This window comes from Homo sapiens, chromosome 3 (genome assembly GCF_000001405.40).
Source record: "Homo sapiens chromosome 3, GRCh38.p14 Primary Assembly".
NCBI classification, from domain to species: domain Eukaryota; kingdom Metazoa; phylum Chordata; class Mammalia; order Primates; family Hominidae; genus Homo; species Homo sapiens.
In genome coordinates this window covers 123,918,995-123,931,943 of record NC_000003.12, presented here as the reverse complement: position 1 = coordinate 123,931,943, position 12,949 = coordinate 123,918,995, and the positions used below count along the sequence as shown (strand labels likewise).

At 35.5% G+C, this 12,949-nt stretch overlaps 1 protein-coding gene across 29 annotated transcripts in view; it reads left to right on the top strand.

Moving 5' to 3' along the window:
* CCDC14 (coiled-coil domain containing 14) overlaps positions 1-12,949 on the top strand; it is a 76,054-nt gene that overhangs the window by 29,286 nt on the left and 33,819 nt on the right. For 27 of the 29 annotated variants that reach the window (XR_007095720.1, XM_011513081.3, XM_047448748.1 and 24 more), the window contains 2 exons: positions 418-636; positions 710-842. The exons of 1 other annotated variant lie outside the window; for it this stretch is intronic. Coding sequence is in view for 27 of the 28 variants with exons in the window: in XM_011513081.3 (XP_011511383.2) it covers positions 418-636; positions 710-842 (352 nt within the window). In the remaining variant the exon portion in view is untranslated. Of the gene's footprint in view, positions 1-417; positions 637-709; positions 843-12,949 lie in introns of those variants that run through there. One more of the 29 variants, XM_047448751.1, reaches the window with a different exon arrangement.

The following is a 12,949-nucleotide window of genomic DNA, read 5'->3' as shown; positions in this document are numbered from 1 at the left end:
AATACCATATGTAAAAGTGTTTTCACGAAAGATACCAAAATTAATACTGATTGTCTCTGGGGACAGAGAGGAGGAGTGGAAGGGAGATTCTTCATTGAGAATCATTGACATTCTGTGGTGTTTGAATTTTTTAACTTTGTACATGTATTATTCTTTTAAAAGGATTATGTATTCTTTCTTTTAAAAGGGTTTAAAAAATTAATGCTTAAAATGTCAACTGGAAAAGAAAGGTATGACTTCTGCCAATCATTTTTAAAAATATATGTAGTATTTATGTAGAACTGCTCATGCAATTAATCGTTAAACAAAATCAATAAATTTCAGGCCTTTTTTTTTTTTTTTTAAGAAACAGGTATTTTCCAAGTTTGTACTTTTTAGGTTTGGGAAACAACTATTTGATCCATTTTGTCTTAACAGTGTTTTCTCTTCAGTCATTGAATATGTCACTGCAAAATCAATTGGAGGAGTCACTAAAGAGCCAGGAATTACTGCAGAGTAAAAATGAAGAGCTGTTAAAAGTGATTGAAAATCAGAAAGATGAAAACAAAAAATTTAGTAGTATATTTAAAGACAAAGATCAAACTATACTTGAAAATAAACAGCAATATGATATTGAGATAACAAGAATAAAAATTGGTACGTATTTAGACAGTAGTTATGGTCACATCTTTTAAAAGGAATAAGGAAACTGAAACTTTTGTTGTTTTAGAATTGGAGGAAGCCCTAGTCAATGTGAAAAGCTCCCAGTTTAAGTTAGAAACTGCTGAAAAGGAAAACCAGATATTGGGGATAACATTACGTCAGCGTGATGCTGAGGTGACTCGACTAAGAGAATTAACCAGGTAAAATTGACTTCCTTTGAATAACTCATGCCTTTTTTATTTTTAGATGTTTTTATAAACTTCAAAATAATGTTAGACCTGTTTTCTCCCCCATATCTTTTTCTCTTATTTTGCCAATGTTTTTGCTAATTTCTAATGATGTTTTCTTCTGTTCCAATTAAATTAGTTTAGGAATTTCAAACCTGGCGAAATGTTTTTTTAAAACCATGTGATTCTGGGCAGGGGGTCCTGATGAGAAGCTGAAGACTTGTATAGCAACACCATTGAGCCCTCTGGTTCTGAAGCTAGAGAGATCTGACTGGAATCCCAGCTCTGCCACATATTAGCTGAGTAACTTTGAGCAAGCCATTTAACTTCTCTAAACCTCAGCTGTAAAGTAGGGACATGAATAGAGTTGTCATGGGAAACTAAGAAATCATTCATGAAAAGCACTTAGCATGGTAAGCCCTCATGCCATATGATCTTGGGTAAGTCAGCCTCTTTCAGCATTATTTCATCAGTTAAATGAGTGAGTTGGCAGTACCCCTTGAGATCACTTCATTCCCTAACAGTATTTTTCTAAAATAAAATTACCTCACTCAATTTTTCTATGATATTCACTTACAAAATTCAGTTTTCTTTTGAGATATTTGCTAAGAATTGGATTCTCAACTGCTTTTTAAAGTTCTAGGCGAGAAGTCAGTTATCTGAGGCCTAAAGATCTGCAGATCTGACTTTGTCTTCGAATGATCCTAGAAGTTCCAAATATAAAATAATCTTGAATATAAAATAATCTTCCTTGTGTTTCCAATGAACAGATCGATTTTGAATTTTCAACTTCCCCCCTCATTTTGAATGATAAACTTGTAGGGAAGCAAATGAAACAGTAATATATAACATTTAATTTATTAATTTAGTTTTATAAATGTATTTGAAATTAATGATCTGTTCACATGGAAATATTGCCCTTTTTCCACATTTATATTTCATAGGATATTTGCATTCAAACTTTTATTTAACAATGGCAAAAGCAAGACATTTTTTGTAATCATATAATTATAATTGATTAGGTTCTAGTCAGAGGTTCTGAATATTGGCTTATACCAGTCTTATTCAAAATAAAGTAATAGAATGTCCCTTCTTATGGAAGTCTTTGTAAGGTATCCCAAGGAATGTTTCCTTTTTTCTAAGGAATAATTTTGTGGTGAGAATTTTGTTAGTGTCAAGTATTTATACTAAGAGAAACCAGTAACAAAAGGCCACATATGGTGTGATTCCATTTATACGAAATGTCCAGAATAGGCAGATTCACAGAGACACAAAGTAGATTAGTAGTTGCCAGGGGCTGGAGGAACCCAGGGGTGTAGAATGGGAAATGACTGCTAATGGGTAGTTTCATTTAGGAGTGATGCAGATGTTCTGAAATTAGATAGTGGTGACAGTTCTCAACTCTATGAATATACTAATAACCACCAAATTTTGCACTTAAAAGGAGTAGATTTTGTGGTATGTAAATTATATGTTGGTTGCAGGGCCTCATGCCTGTAACCCCAGCACTTTGGGAGGCCGAGGTGGGTGGATCGCCTGGGCCCAGGAGCTCGAGACCAGCCTGGGCAACACAGCAAAACCCTGTCTCTACAAAAAATACCAAAGTTAGCTGTGCGTGGTCGTGCATGCCTGTAGTCCCAGCTACTCGAGAGGCAGAAGTGGGAGGAGCCCAGGAGGTGGAAGCTGCGGTGAGCCACTATCATGCCACTGCATTCCAACGTGGGCGACAGAGTAAGACCCTGTCTCAAAAAAATAATAAATAAATATATTAAAATAATATCTCAATAAACTGTTATTTTGTAAAAGTTATATATGGTATACAGTCTGTTTAGTAAAGAAAAAGGAAGAAAAGAAAAAAATAGTGAGTCAGCATGGTCAAGTGCCATGAGAGTTTGCTTAGGAGTTACTATGAGCATCTGCTTCATTCTAAGGGGCAACTCTTAGCCCCAAGCAGAAAATCCGATGAAGCGGAGGATGTAGTTCTCTGGTAGTTTTCCTTCCTTCTCACAATCTTTTTTGTCATACTGCTAAATTCAGCTTCTTTATGGGTATGAAATCACAAGCTGATATCTTTTATTTATAAAGTACTTTGATTTTTTTCAAAGTTCTGTCTTTCCTATGTCATTTTATTTGTCCTCATCTATGGAGGGAAGATTTTAGTATCTGCATTTTCATAGATGGGCAAACTGAGGCCACGCAAATTAAGTATTAGTAGAATGTTAATAACAGAGCTGGGACTAGAACTCACATCTTTTAATTTCTAGCCAGATGTTCCTCTTGCACATGGAGTGGCTTTAGCCATGGTGACAACTCCATGCCTGATTTAGCCTAAGTAAACGTTATAATTTTTTTACCTGGGAGGTAGACGGATGAATGGATGGATTCGTTTGTTTATTCAACAAACATTAATTTTGTATTATGTTCCAAATATATATGTGTGAAGCATACATAAAAATATTTAATTACTTTTAGTTGCTAAATATCCACATTGACAAGTGAAGAGCTTATTCTAGTGCTTTACTGACATATGTAGGGATACATCTTTTTTATTTATTTATTTATTTTCTTTGAGACATAGTCTCACTCTGTCGCCCAGGCTGGAGTGCAGTGGCGCTATCTTGGCTCACTGCAAGCTCCGCCTCCTGTGTTCACGCCATTCTCCTGCCTCAGCCTCCCCAGTAGCTGGGACTACAGGTGCCCTCCACCACGCCCAGCTATTTTTTTTTTTTTTTTTTTTTTTTAGTAGAGACTGGGTTTCACCATGTTAGCCAGGATGGTCTCTATCTCCTGACTTCATGATCCACCAGCCTCAGCCTCCCAAAGTGCTGGGATTACCAGCGTGAGCCACCGTGCCAGGCCAGATACGTCTTTTTTTAAGTAAATGCATTGCACATGTTGACAATACTATTCAACATATGCAATGCATTTACTAAGAAAATTGGTAACAAAAACATAAGAAAAATCTTTCAGAGTAACAGTATAACTTTTCTAGAAATTAGTAGAAATGGAAGCCCAAAGAAAAAAGGGACTTACCTGACTTTCACAGCTAGTGTCTGAACTAGGACCAGAGCCAGGATTTTGGATTCTGTCTTCAGCTTTGCTTTCTGTTTTAAAGAGGACAGCTTTTCTCTGAATAAAGATGCTCCATTATTGAGGGATTCTTCTACCTGTGTAGGAGATACTTTTGTACCTGCTCATTCTTTCAAAATAACATGCAGTCTGCCTTTTCCATTGTTTATTCAGAATGAAAAAATGTAACTGGAGCCTTTTTTTTTTCCTTAACATTTATCTAACATAGAAGTATAGGAACTGAAAAAGTTCATTAATTCTTGCTATTTGCCTTTATAAAAGGCCCTGTCTAGAATATTAGATACAGACTTTTGCTCTCCTTTTCGTAAGACTAAAGAATTTTCCTATCAGTTTTTTACATTTTTGTTAAGCACGTTTTTATGCTGGGCATAAATCCTGCCTCATGACTACTAGCTCACCTGTCAGATTGACTGCACTCTTATGAATGATTGTAAAAACATGATGGGAAGGCTTAGCACAGTATCTCATGTAGAGTTTAGCACTATCCCTACATTTTCTAAAGATTTAGAAACAGCTTCAAAATTCTAAGTACGTTCATTGATGTCAGTTTTATACTTTTTTTTGTTTTGAGGCAGAATCTCGCTCTGTCACCCAAGCTGGAGTCCAGTGGTGCGATCACAGCTCAGTACCGCCTCAACCTCCCTGGCTCATGCAATCTTCCCACTTCAGGCTCCCAAGTAGCTGGGACCACAGGCACATGCCACTGTGCCCAGCTATTTTTTTTTTTTTTTTTTTACTTTTAGTAGAGACGAGGTCTCGCCATGTTGCCCCAGCTGGTCTTGAACTTCTAGGCTCAAGCAGTTCTCCCACCTTGGCCTCCCAAAGTGCTGGGATTACCAGCACACCCAGCCATTGTTTTGTTCTTTACATTAAAACAAAACAAAAAAGTCTCTGAGCTTAATTATATCTAAATTCATCCACATTGTTGATTTATAATTTCTTTGATGACACCCTATGCAATTCAATTGGTTAGGAACATCTCTAGTACTATAAGTGGATTGCTGTGACCATTTTAATTTTACTTTGGACGTTAGAGTGTAAAGCACCAGCATCCGACAGTACAGATAAATCTACATGCTCTTCTACTCCTTCACTCTTCCCATAGTCACCTTAGTCAGATAGGCATATGGTTTTGGTATGTGTGTTTTAAATAATCTCCGAAAAGAGATTTTGTAAAATTTCTGAATGCCTTTCTCAGACTTTGGGGGAGGAGTAATGGGACTGAAAGGTACATGTACAAGGTCTAAAGAAATACCACAAACCCTCTTTCTTTTCCTTCTCCAACCTTTAATGATTTTAAATGTGCCTGTGTCACTTTTTTTTCAGATCTTACTACAACATGTTATAAAACCATTAAAATGTGAGGAAAATTAATATTTTAAATATTAATTTAAATAATATTTTAAATATTAATTTAAATAATATTTATATTTAAAAATATATAAATTAAATAATATATAACATTATTTAAGTAAATAGTGAATAGTTTCAAAGAGCATTCTTACAAGTACTCATAGTTATTTAAATTAATATATTTTTGTAAGTAGCCTAGAAAGAACCCTGCATTTGTTATGAAAATGTGCCAGTTTTCTAAGTATTAAAAATCAGTGTCTTTAGCTGAATTATGTATAATAGAAACACCAATATATCCGCTTGTCACAGTTTAGGTGCTCATATTCCTTCCTTTAAAATTTTAACGTTTTCATATTTCTTACAGAGATTTTTAATTTCAGAGACAATGGTGAGTCATATTCTGTTTATACATCAGAAGATTAGTAATTGCTACTAATTTCCAGAAATTAAGCTTTTTTAAATGTCATTGTCCCTTCCTTTCTTTATCTCTGATTTTATCTATAGCAACAGTAATTTTTTTTAAAACTGGAAAGAAACTTCAATATAAGTATTCCTTTACTGAAAATAAACAAAAATAAAAATTTCGGTATGCAGTCTGATCAAATTAATTAGTGGGTCATTATTCGTTACAGCATTCCTTCAAAGATATGTTTCTCCAGCATATTTTTGTGTTGTAGTAACAACTCATTAGCTTCTTTTAATATCATAATTGACAAATTAATACCATTTTAACTATATTTATGGGGTACAGTGATGTTTTGGTATATGTAAACAAGGTGAAATAACTAAATCAAGCTAATTAAATGTCCATCATCTCACTTATTGTATTTTGGAGTGAGACATTTGGAATTTACTTTTTTAGCAATGTTGGATTATTATTAAGTATAATCACCCTAGGCTGGACGTGGTGGCTTCCGCCTGCAATCCTAACACTTTGGGAGGCCAAGGTGGGCAGATCACCTGAGGTCAGGAGTTTGAGACCAGCCTGGCCAACATGGTAAAACCCTGTCTCTACTAAAAATACAAAAATTACCTGGGCATGGTAGCAGGTGCCTGTAATCCCAGCTACTCGGAAGGCTGAGGCAGGAGTATGACTTGAACCCAGGAGGCAGAGGTTGCGATGAGCTGAGATTGCACCACTGTACTCCAGCTTGGGCAACAGAACAAAACTCCATCTAAAAAAAAAAGTATAGTCACCCTACTGTTCAATAGAACCCACAAACTTATTCCTTCTATGTAACTGAAACTTTGTACCCTTTGACTAACATCTCCCCATTTCCCATACCCTACCTTACATCCACCACAACCCCAGTCTCTGGTAACCACTATTCTACTCTCTGCTTCTATGAGTTCAACTTTTTTATATTCCATATATAAGTGAGGTCATGCAGTATTTGTCTTTCTGTTCTTGGCTTATTTCACTTAACATATGGATGTCCTCCAGGTTCATTCATGTTGCAAATGACAAAATTTCCTGGGTTTTTTTTTGTTTTTTTTTTAAGGCTGAGTAGTATTCCAATATGTTTATATGCCACGTTTTCCTTAAAGAAATAATCATTCATTCACTGAAGGAAACTTAGGTTTATTCCATATCTTGGCTATTGTGAATAATGCTACAATGCCCATACTCTGGGTGTGTGTGTATAGATAGATGTGTGTGTGTGTGTGTGTGTGTGTATATATGTATACATATATATGTGTGTGTATATATATATATATGGATATGTACATAGACATGGGATTGCTGAATCATATGGTAGTTCTATTTATACATTTTTGAGGAGCTTCCATACTGTTTCCCATTGTGTCTATACTAATTTACATTCCTACCAACAGTATACAAGGGTTTCCTTTTCTCCACATCTTCATCAACACTTGTTAGCTTTCATCTTTTTTGTAATAGCCATTCTGACAGGTGTGAGATGATATCTCATTGTGGTTTTAATTTGCATTTCCCTAATGTTGAGCATTTTTTCTTAGACATATTGGCCATTTAAATGGAGAAATGTCCTTTGCCCATTTTTTAATTATTTGTTTTTTTGCTGTTGAGTTGCATGAGTCCCTTACATATTTTGAATATTAACCCCTTATCACGTACGGTTTGCATATATTTCTCCCACACCATGGCTTGTCTCTTCACTCTGTTAGATTGTTCCCCTTGCTGTGCAAAAGCCTTTTAGTTTGATACGATTTCATTTGTCTATTTTTGTTTGTGATATCTGTGCTTTCAAGGTCATATCTAAAAAATTATTGCCTGGACCAGTGTCATGGAGCTTTTCCCTCATGTTTTTTTCTGGTAGTTTTACAGTTTCAGGTCTTGTATTTAAATCTTTAATCCATTTTTAGTATATTTTTGTATGCATTGTGAAATAAGAATCCAATTCCATTCTTCTGTACGTGGATCTCCAGTTTTCCCATCACCATTTGTTGAAGAGACTTTTCCCCATTTTGTTTTCTTGTCACCTTTGTGAAAAATCAATTGGCCATAAATACATGGATTTATTTATGTCCTGTTCCATTGATCAGCATGTCTGTTTTTATGCCAGTTCATGCCGTTTTGATTTCAATTCCTTTAATATATTTTGAAATCAGGGAATGTGGTGCCCCCAGCTTTGTTCTTTTTACTTAAGATATTTTTGGCTTTTCAAGGGTTTTTTTTTTTTTAATGATTCTGTATGAATTTTAGGATAGTTTATTCTATTTCTGTGAAAAATGACACTGGAATTTTGATAGGAATTCTGTTGAATTTGTAGGTCATTTTGGGTAGCATGAATATTCCAACAATATTATTTCTTCCAATCATGAGCACAGGGTAGCCTTCCATTTATTTGTGTTTTCTTCAGTTTATTTTATCAGTGTTTCATAGTTTTTAGTATATACTAATAATATATGTATATATTTAGTAAATACTAATAATATATGTGTATTGTTCACCTCCTTGGTTAAATTTTCACTGAAGTATTTTACTTTGTTTTTTGTTGCTTGTTTTTCTTAATTTCTTTTGGGTAGTTTGTTGTGAGTGTATAGAAATGTTACTGATTTTTTATGTTGATTTTGTATCCTGCAACTTTACTGAGTTTATAAGCAAAACAGTTTTTTGGTGTTTAGGATTTTCTGTGTATAAAATCGTGTCAGCAAACAGACAATTTCATTTCTTCCTTTCTTATTATCTTCTATTTTTTTTCTCTTGCATAATTACTCTGGGTAAGAGTTCCAGTAATATGTTGAAAAGAAGTGGTGAGAGTGGGCCTTCTTACCTTACTCTTGATCTTAGAGGAAAAACTTTCAACTTTTCATCACTGAGTATGATGTTAACTATGGGTTTGTCATATATATGGCCTTTGTTGTGTTAAGGTACATTCCTTCTATACGGAATCTTTTGAGAGTTTTTTCATGAAAGAGTGTTGAAATGTATCAAGTGCATTTTCTGCATCTTTTGCGATGATCATATAGTTTTAAATTCTTCATTCTGTTAATGTGGTATATCACATTCATCGGTTTTATACGTTGAACCATCCTTGCATCTCAAATGTAAATCCCCTTTAATTGTGTTGAATAATTCTTTTAATTTATTGTTGAATTTGGTTTGCTAGTATTTTGTTGAGGGTTTTTTAAGTCTGTGTTCATCAGAGATATTGACCTGTAGTTTTCTTTTCTTGTAGTGTTCTTTTCTGGCTTTGTTATCAGAGTCATATTGGCCTTGAACAGTGTTTTCAAGTGTTCAACAAGAACACTTGGCCTTGTTCAGTGTTTTCTATGTAAAACAAGTTTGGAAAAATTCCCTGCACTTTGAATGTTTGGAAGAGTTTGAGAAGGGTTGGTATTCTCAATCCTTCTTTAAATGTTCTTTAAGTGTTGGTTAGAATTCAGCTATAAAGCTGTCTTGTCCTGGGCTTTTCTTTGGTGGGAGACTTTATTAAGAACACTTAATATCCTTACTCATTATTGGTCTGCTCAGACTTTCTATTCCTTCATGATTCAGGTTTGGTAAGTTGTGTCTGTATAGGAATTTATCCATTTCTTCTGGGTTATCTAATTTGTTGGTGTATAATTGCTCATAGTAACTTCTTATGATTCTTTGCATTGCTGTGTTATCAGTTGTAATATCTCCTTTTATTTCTGATTCATTTAAGTCTTCTCTCTCCTTCTCTTAGTCTAGCTAAGGGTTTGTCAATTTTGTTTATTTCTCCCAAAAAAACAAACTCAGTTTTGCTGAATTTTTCCTATTGTTTTTCTAGTCTCTATTTCATATATTTCTTGCTCTGATCTTTTGTGATTTCTTCCTTCTGCTAATTTTGGGCTTAATTTGTTCTCCTTTTCCTAGTTCCTTAAGATGTAATATTAGATTATTTGAGAGCTTTCTTTTTTGATATATGTTTATTGCTATAAATTTCCCTCTTAGAATTGCTTTTGCTGCATCCCATAAATGTTGTCATATTTTGTTTTCATTTTTGTTCGTCTCAAGGTATTATTTTATTACCCTTTTAATTTCTTCTTTGTCTCATTGGTTGTTCAGCAGCATGTTGCTTAATTTCCACGTTTGTGAATTTCCCAAAATTTCTCGTTATTGATTCCTAGTTTCATGCCGTTGGAATCGGAAGATGCTTGGTATGATTCTAGTCTCCTTAAATTTGTTAAGACTTATTTTGTGGTCTAACATGATCTATCCTGAAGAATGTTCTGTGTGCACAAGAGAAGAATGTGTACTCTGTTGCTGTAGGATGGAATGTTCTATATTATGTCTATGAGATCTATTTGGTCTAAACCAAGCTTGTCCAACTGATGGCCCCTGAGCCACATGCAGCCCAGGATGGGTTTGAATGTGGCTCAACACAAATTCATAAACTTTCTTAAAACATTATGAGATTTTTTTTTGACAAATTTTTAAGCTCATCAGCTGTCGTTAGTGTTAATGTATTTTATGTGTGGCCCAAGACAATTCTTCCAGTGTGGCCCAGGGAGGCCAAAAGCTTGGACACCCCTGGTCTAAAGTGTAATTTGAGACCAATGTTTCCTTATTGATTTTCTATCTAAAAGATCTGTACAGTGTTGAGAGCCGGGTACTGAAATCCCCCACTCAGTCTGTCTCTCCCTTCAGATCATTTAATAGTTGCTTTATTATTTAGTTGCTCCAATGTTGGGTGCATATATTCTTACAATTGCAGATTGATGCCTTTATCATTATATAGTGACCTTCTTTGCTTCTTTTTACAGTTTTTGACTTAAAGTCTGTTTTGTCTGATATGAGTATAGCTACCCCTGCTTTCTTCGTTTCCTTTCCTATGGAATATATTTTTCCATCTCTTCACTTTCCGTCTATGTGTGTGCTTTACCTTAGAGTGAGCCTCGTGTAAGCAGCATACAGTTTTTGATTCATTCACCCACTCTGTCTTTTGATTAGAGAATTTACTCTATTTACATTCAAGGTAATTGTTGATAGGCAAGGACTTGCTACTGCCATTTTGTAATTTATTTTGTAATTGTTTTGTAGATCCTTTTTTTCTCCCTCTGTTGCCTTCCTTTGTGGTTTGATGGTTTTCTGTAATGGTATGCTTTGAATCCTTTTCATGTTTTGTGCAAATTCTGTAGGTTTTTGCTTTGTGGTTACCCTGAGGTTTACATAAAACATCTTATACTTAGGCTATTTTAAGCTGATAATAACTTTAATCACATACAAAAACTACACTTTTACTCCCCTCTTACACATTTTATGATTTTGATTTCAAAATTTACATCTTTTTCTAATTTATATCCTGTAACTATAGTTGTTTTTAATAGTTTTGTCTTTTAACCCTCATATTAGGATAAAATCGCTTTACATACCACCATTAAGGTACTAGAGTATTCAGAATATGATTATGTGTTATACCATTGAGTTTTATAATTGCATGTGTTTCATGGTATTAATTAGTGATCTTTTACTTCAGCTTAAAGAACTTGTTTTAGCAATTCTTGTAAGATAGGCCTACTGAGGATGAACTCCCTTAGCATTTGTCTGGGAAAGTTTTTATTTCTCCCTCATTTCTGGACAGTTTTGCTGGATAAAGTATTCTTGGTTGACAGGTTGTTTTTGTTGAGAAGTCCACTGTTAGCCATATTGAGGCTCCCTAGTGTGTGATGTTTCTTATCTGTCACTGCTTTGAATTTTAACAGTTATCTTTGAATTTTAACAGTTCAGTTATGGTGTGTCTTGGTGAACTTCTCTTTGGGTTAAATTGGATTGGAGACCTCTGAGCGTCCTGTACCTGAATATTGGTGTCTTTCCCTAGATTTGGAGAATTTTCAGCCATTATTTTCCTAAATATGCTTTCTGGTCATTTTTCTCTCTCTTCTCCTTCAGGCACTCCTGTTTCTCAGATGGTATCTCATAATACCTGTAGGCTTTCTTCATTCTTTTTCATTCTTGATTTATTTCCTCTTCTGACTGGATAATTTTAAATGTCCTCTTTTCAGGCTCACTAATTCCTCTGCTTGATCAAGTATACTATTGAAGTATTTGATTGAATTTTTCAGTTTAGATACTGTGTTTTTTATCTCTAAGATATCTATTTGATTTTTAAAATTTGTTTCTATTTCTTTGTCAAACTTATTGTTTTGTTTGTTAATTATTTTCCAAATTTCATTTAATTTTTTATCTATATTTTCTTGTAGTTCCCTGAACATTTTAAAGAGAAGATTATTCTCAATTCTTTGTCTCTCATTTCTTTAGAGTCCATTATTGGTGCTTTATTTCTTTTAGTGGTGTCATTTTTCTGATTCTTCATAATCCTTGTATCCTTGCATTGGTGTCTATGCACTTGAAGAAGTGGCCACCTCTTCCAGTTTTGCAAGTGTTATGCCCTACCCCACCTCTCACTTGAGGTGAAGGGGATAGACCTTCACTATTTAGTCTAGCCTGGGATTCTGGATTGGCCATCTGGTAGTGACTATAGGCAGGCAGACCTTGCTGTTGGGTTCTCTAACTGGGCTGCTACCTGTGCTTTGAGGTCAGTGGAGCTATTGACTGTACTCCATGATCTTGTGAAACCAATGGCTGTGCTCCGTCAACCAGTGAGGCCACTGACTGGGTTCCAAGGTCAGGTGGAGCTGCCAGCTGGGCTCTGCAATCACCTTTGATTGGGCAGGGTTGCAGGCTGTATTCCCTGGCTGAGTGCTACTGCTGTTTAGAATCTAATTGGGCAGGGTTGCGGGCTGGGCTTCAGTGTTTCTGGGTTTGCTGCCCAGCCACTCGTGACAGGCAGGGCTGGAGATTCCTCCACAGTATGCAGTCACAGGTTTGCCTCCCTGCCTGGGCCTGGGCAAAACCTCAGGCTGGACTTCAAAGCTGAATGGAGTCACTGCTTAACTGCTAAGGTTGAGCAGGGCCAGTTAACTGTGTTCTGCAGATATGTAAGGATGCAGTTTTGCCTCCTGGCCTCAGGAAACTATATGTACAGCTGTGAAGTTAGGTAGGGACACTAAAGTCTGGCAGGGCCAGATGCCGACCTCCACAGATTTATGCTAATGTGCACTTGCCTCTGGGTCTGGGGAAGCCATAAGCAGAGTACTGAGGCTGCATGGGGTTACCGCTCGCCCTCTCAGTTCTTATGGGACCAGATGCTCTCTTCAACACTTAGGTGCCACCGCATACTTGCCTC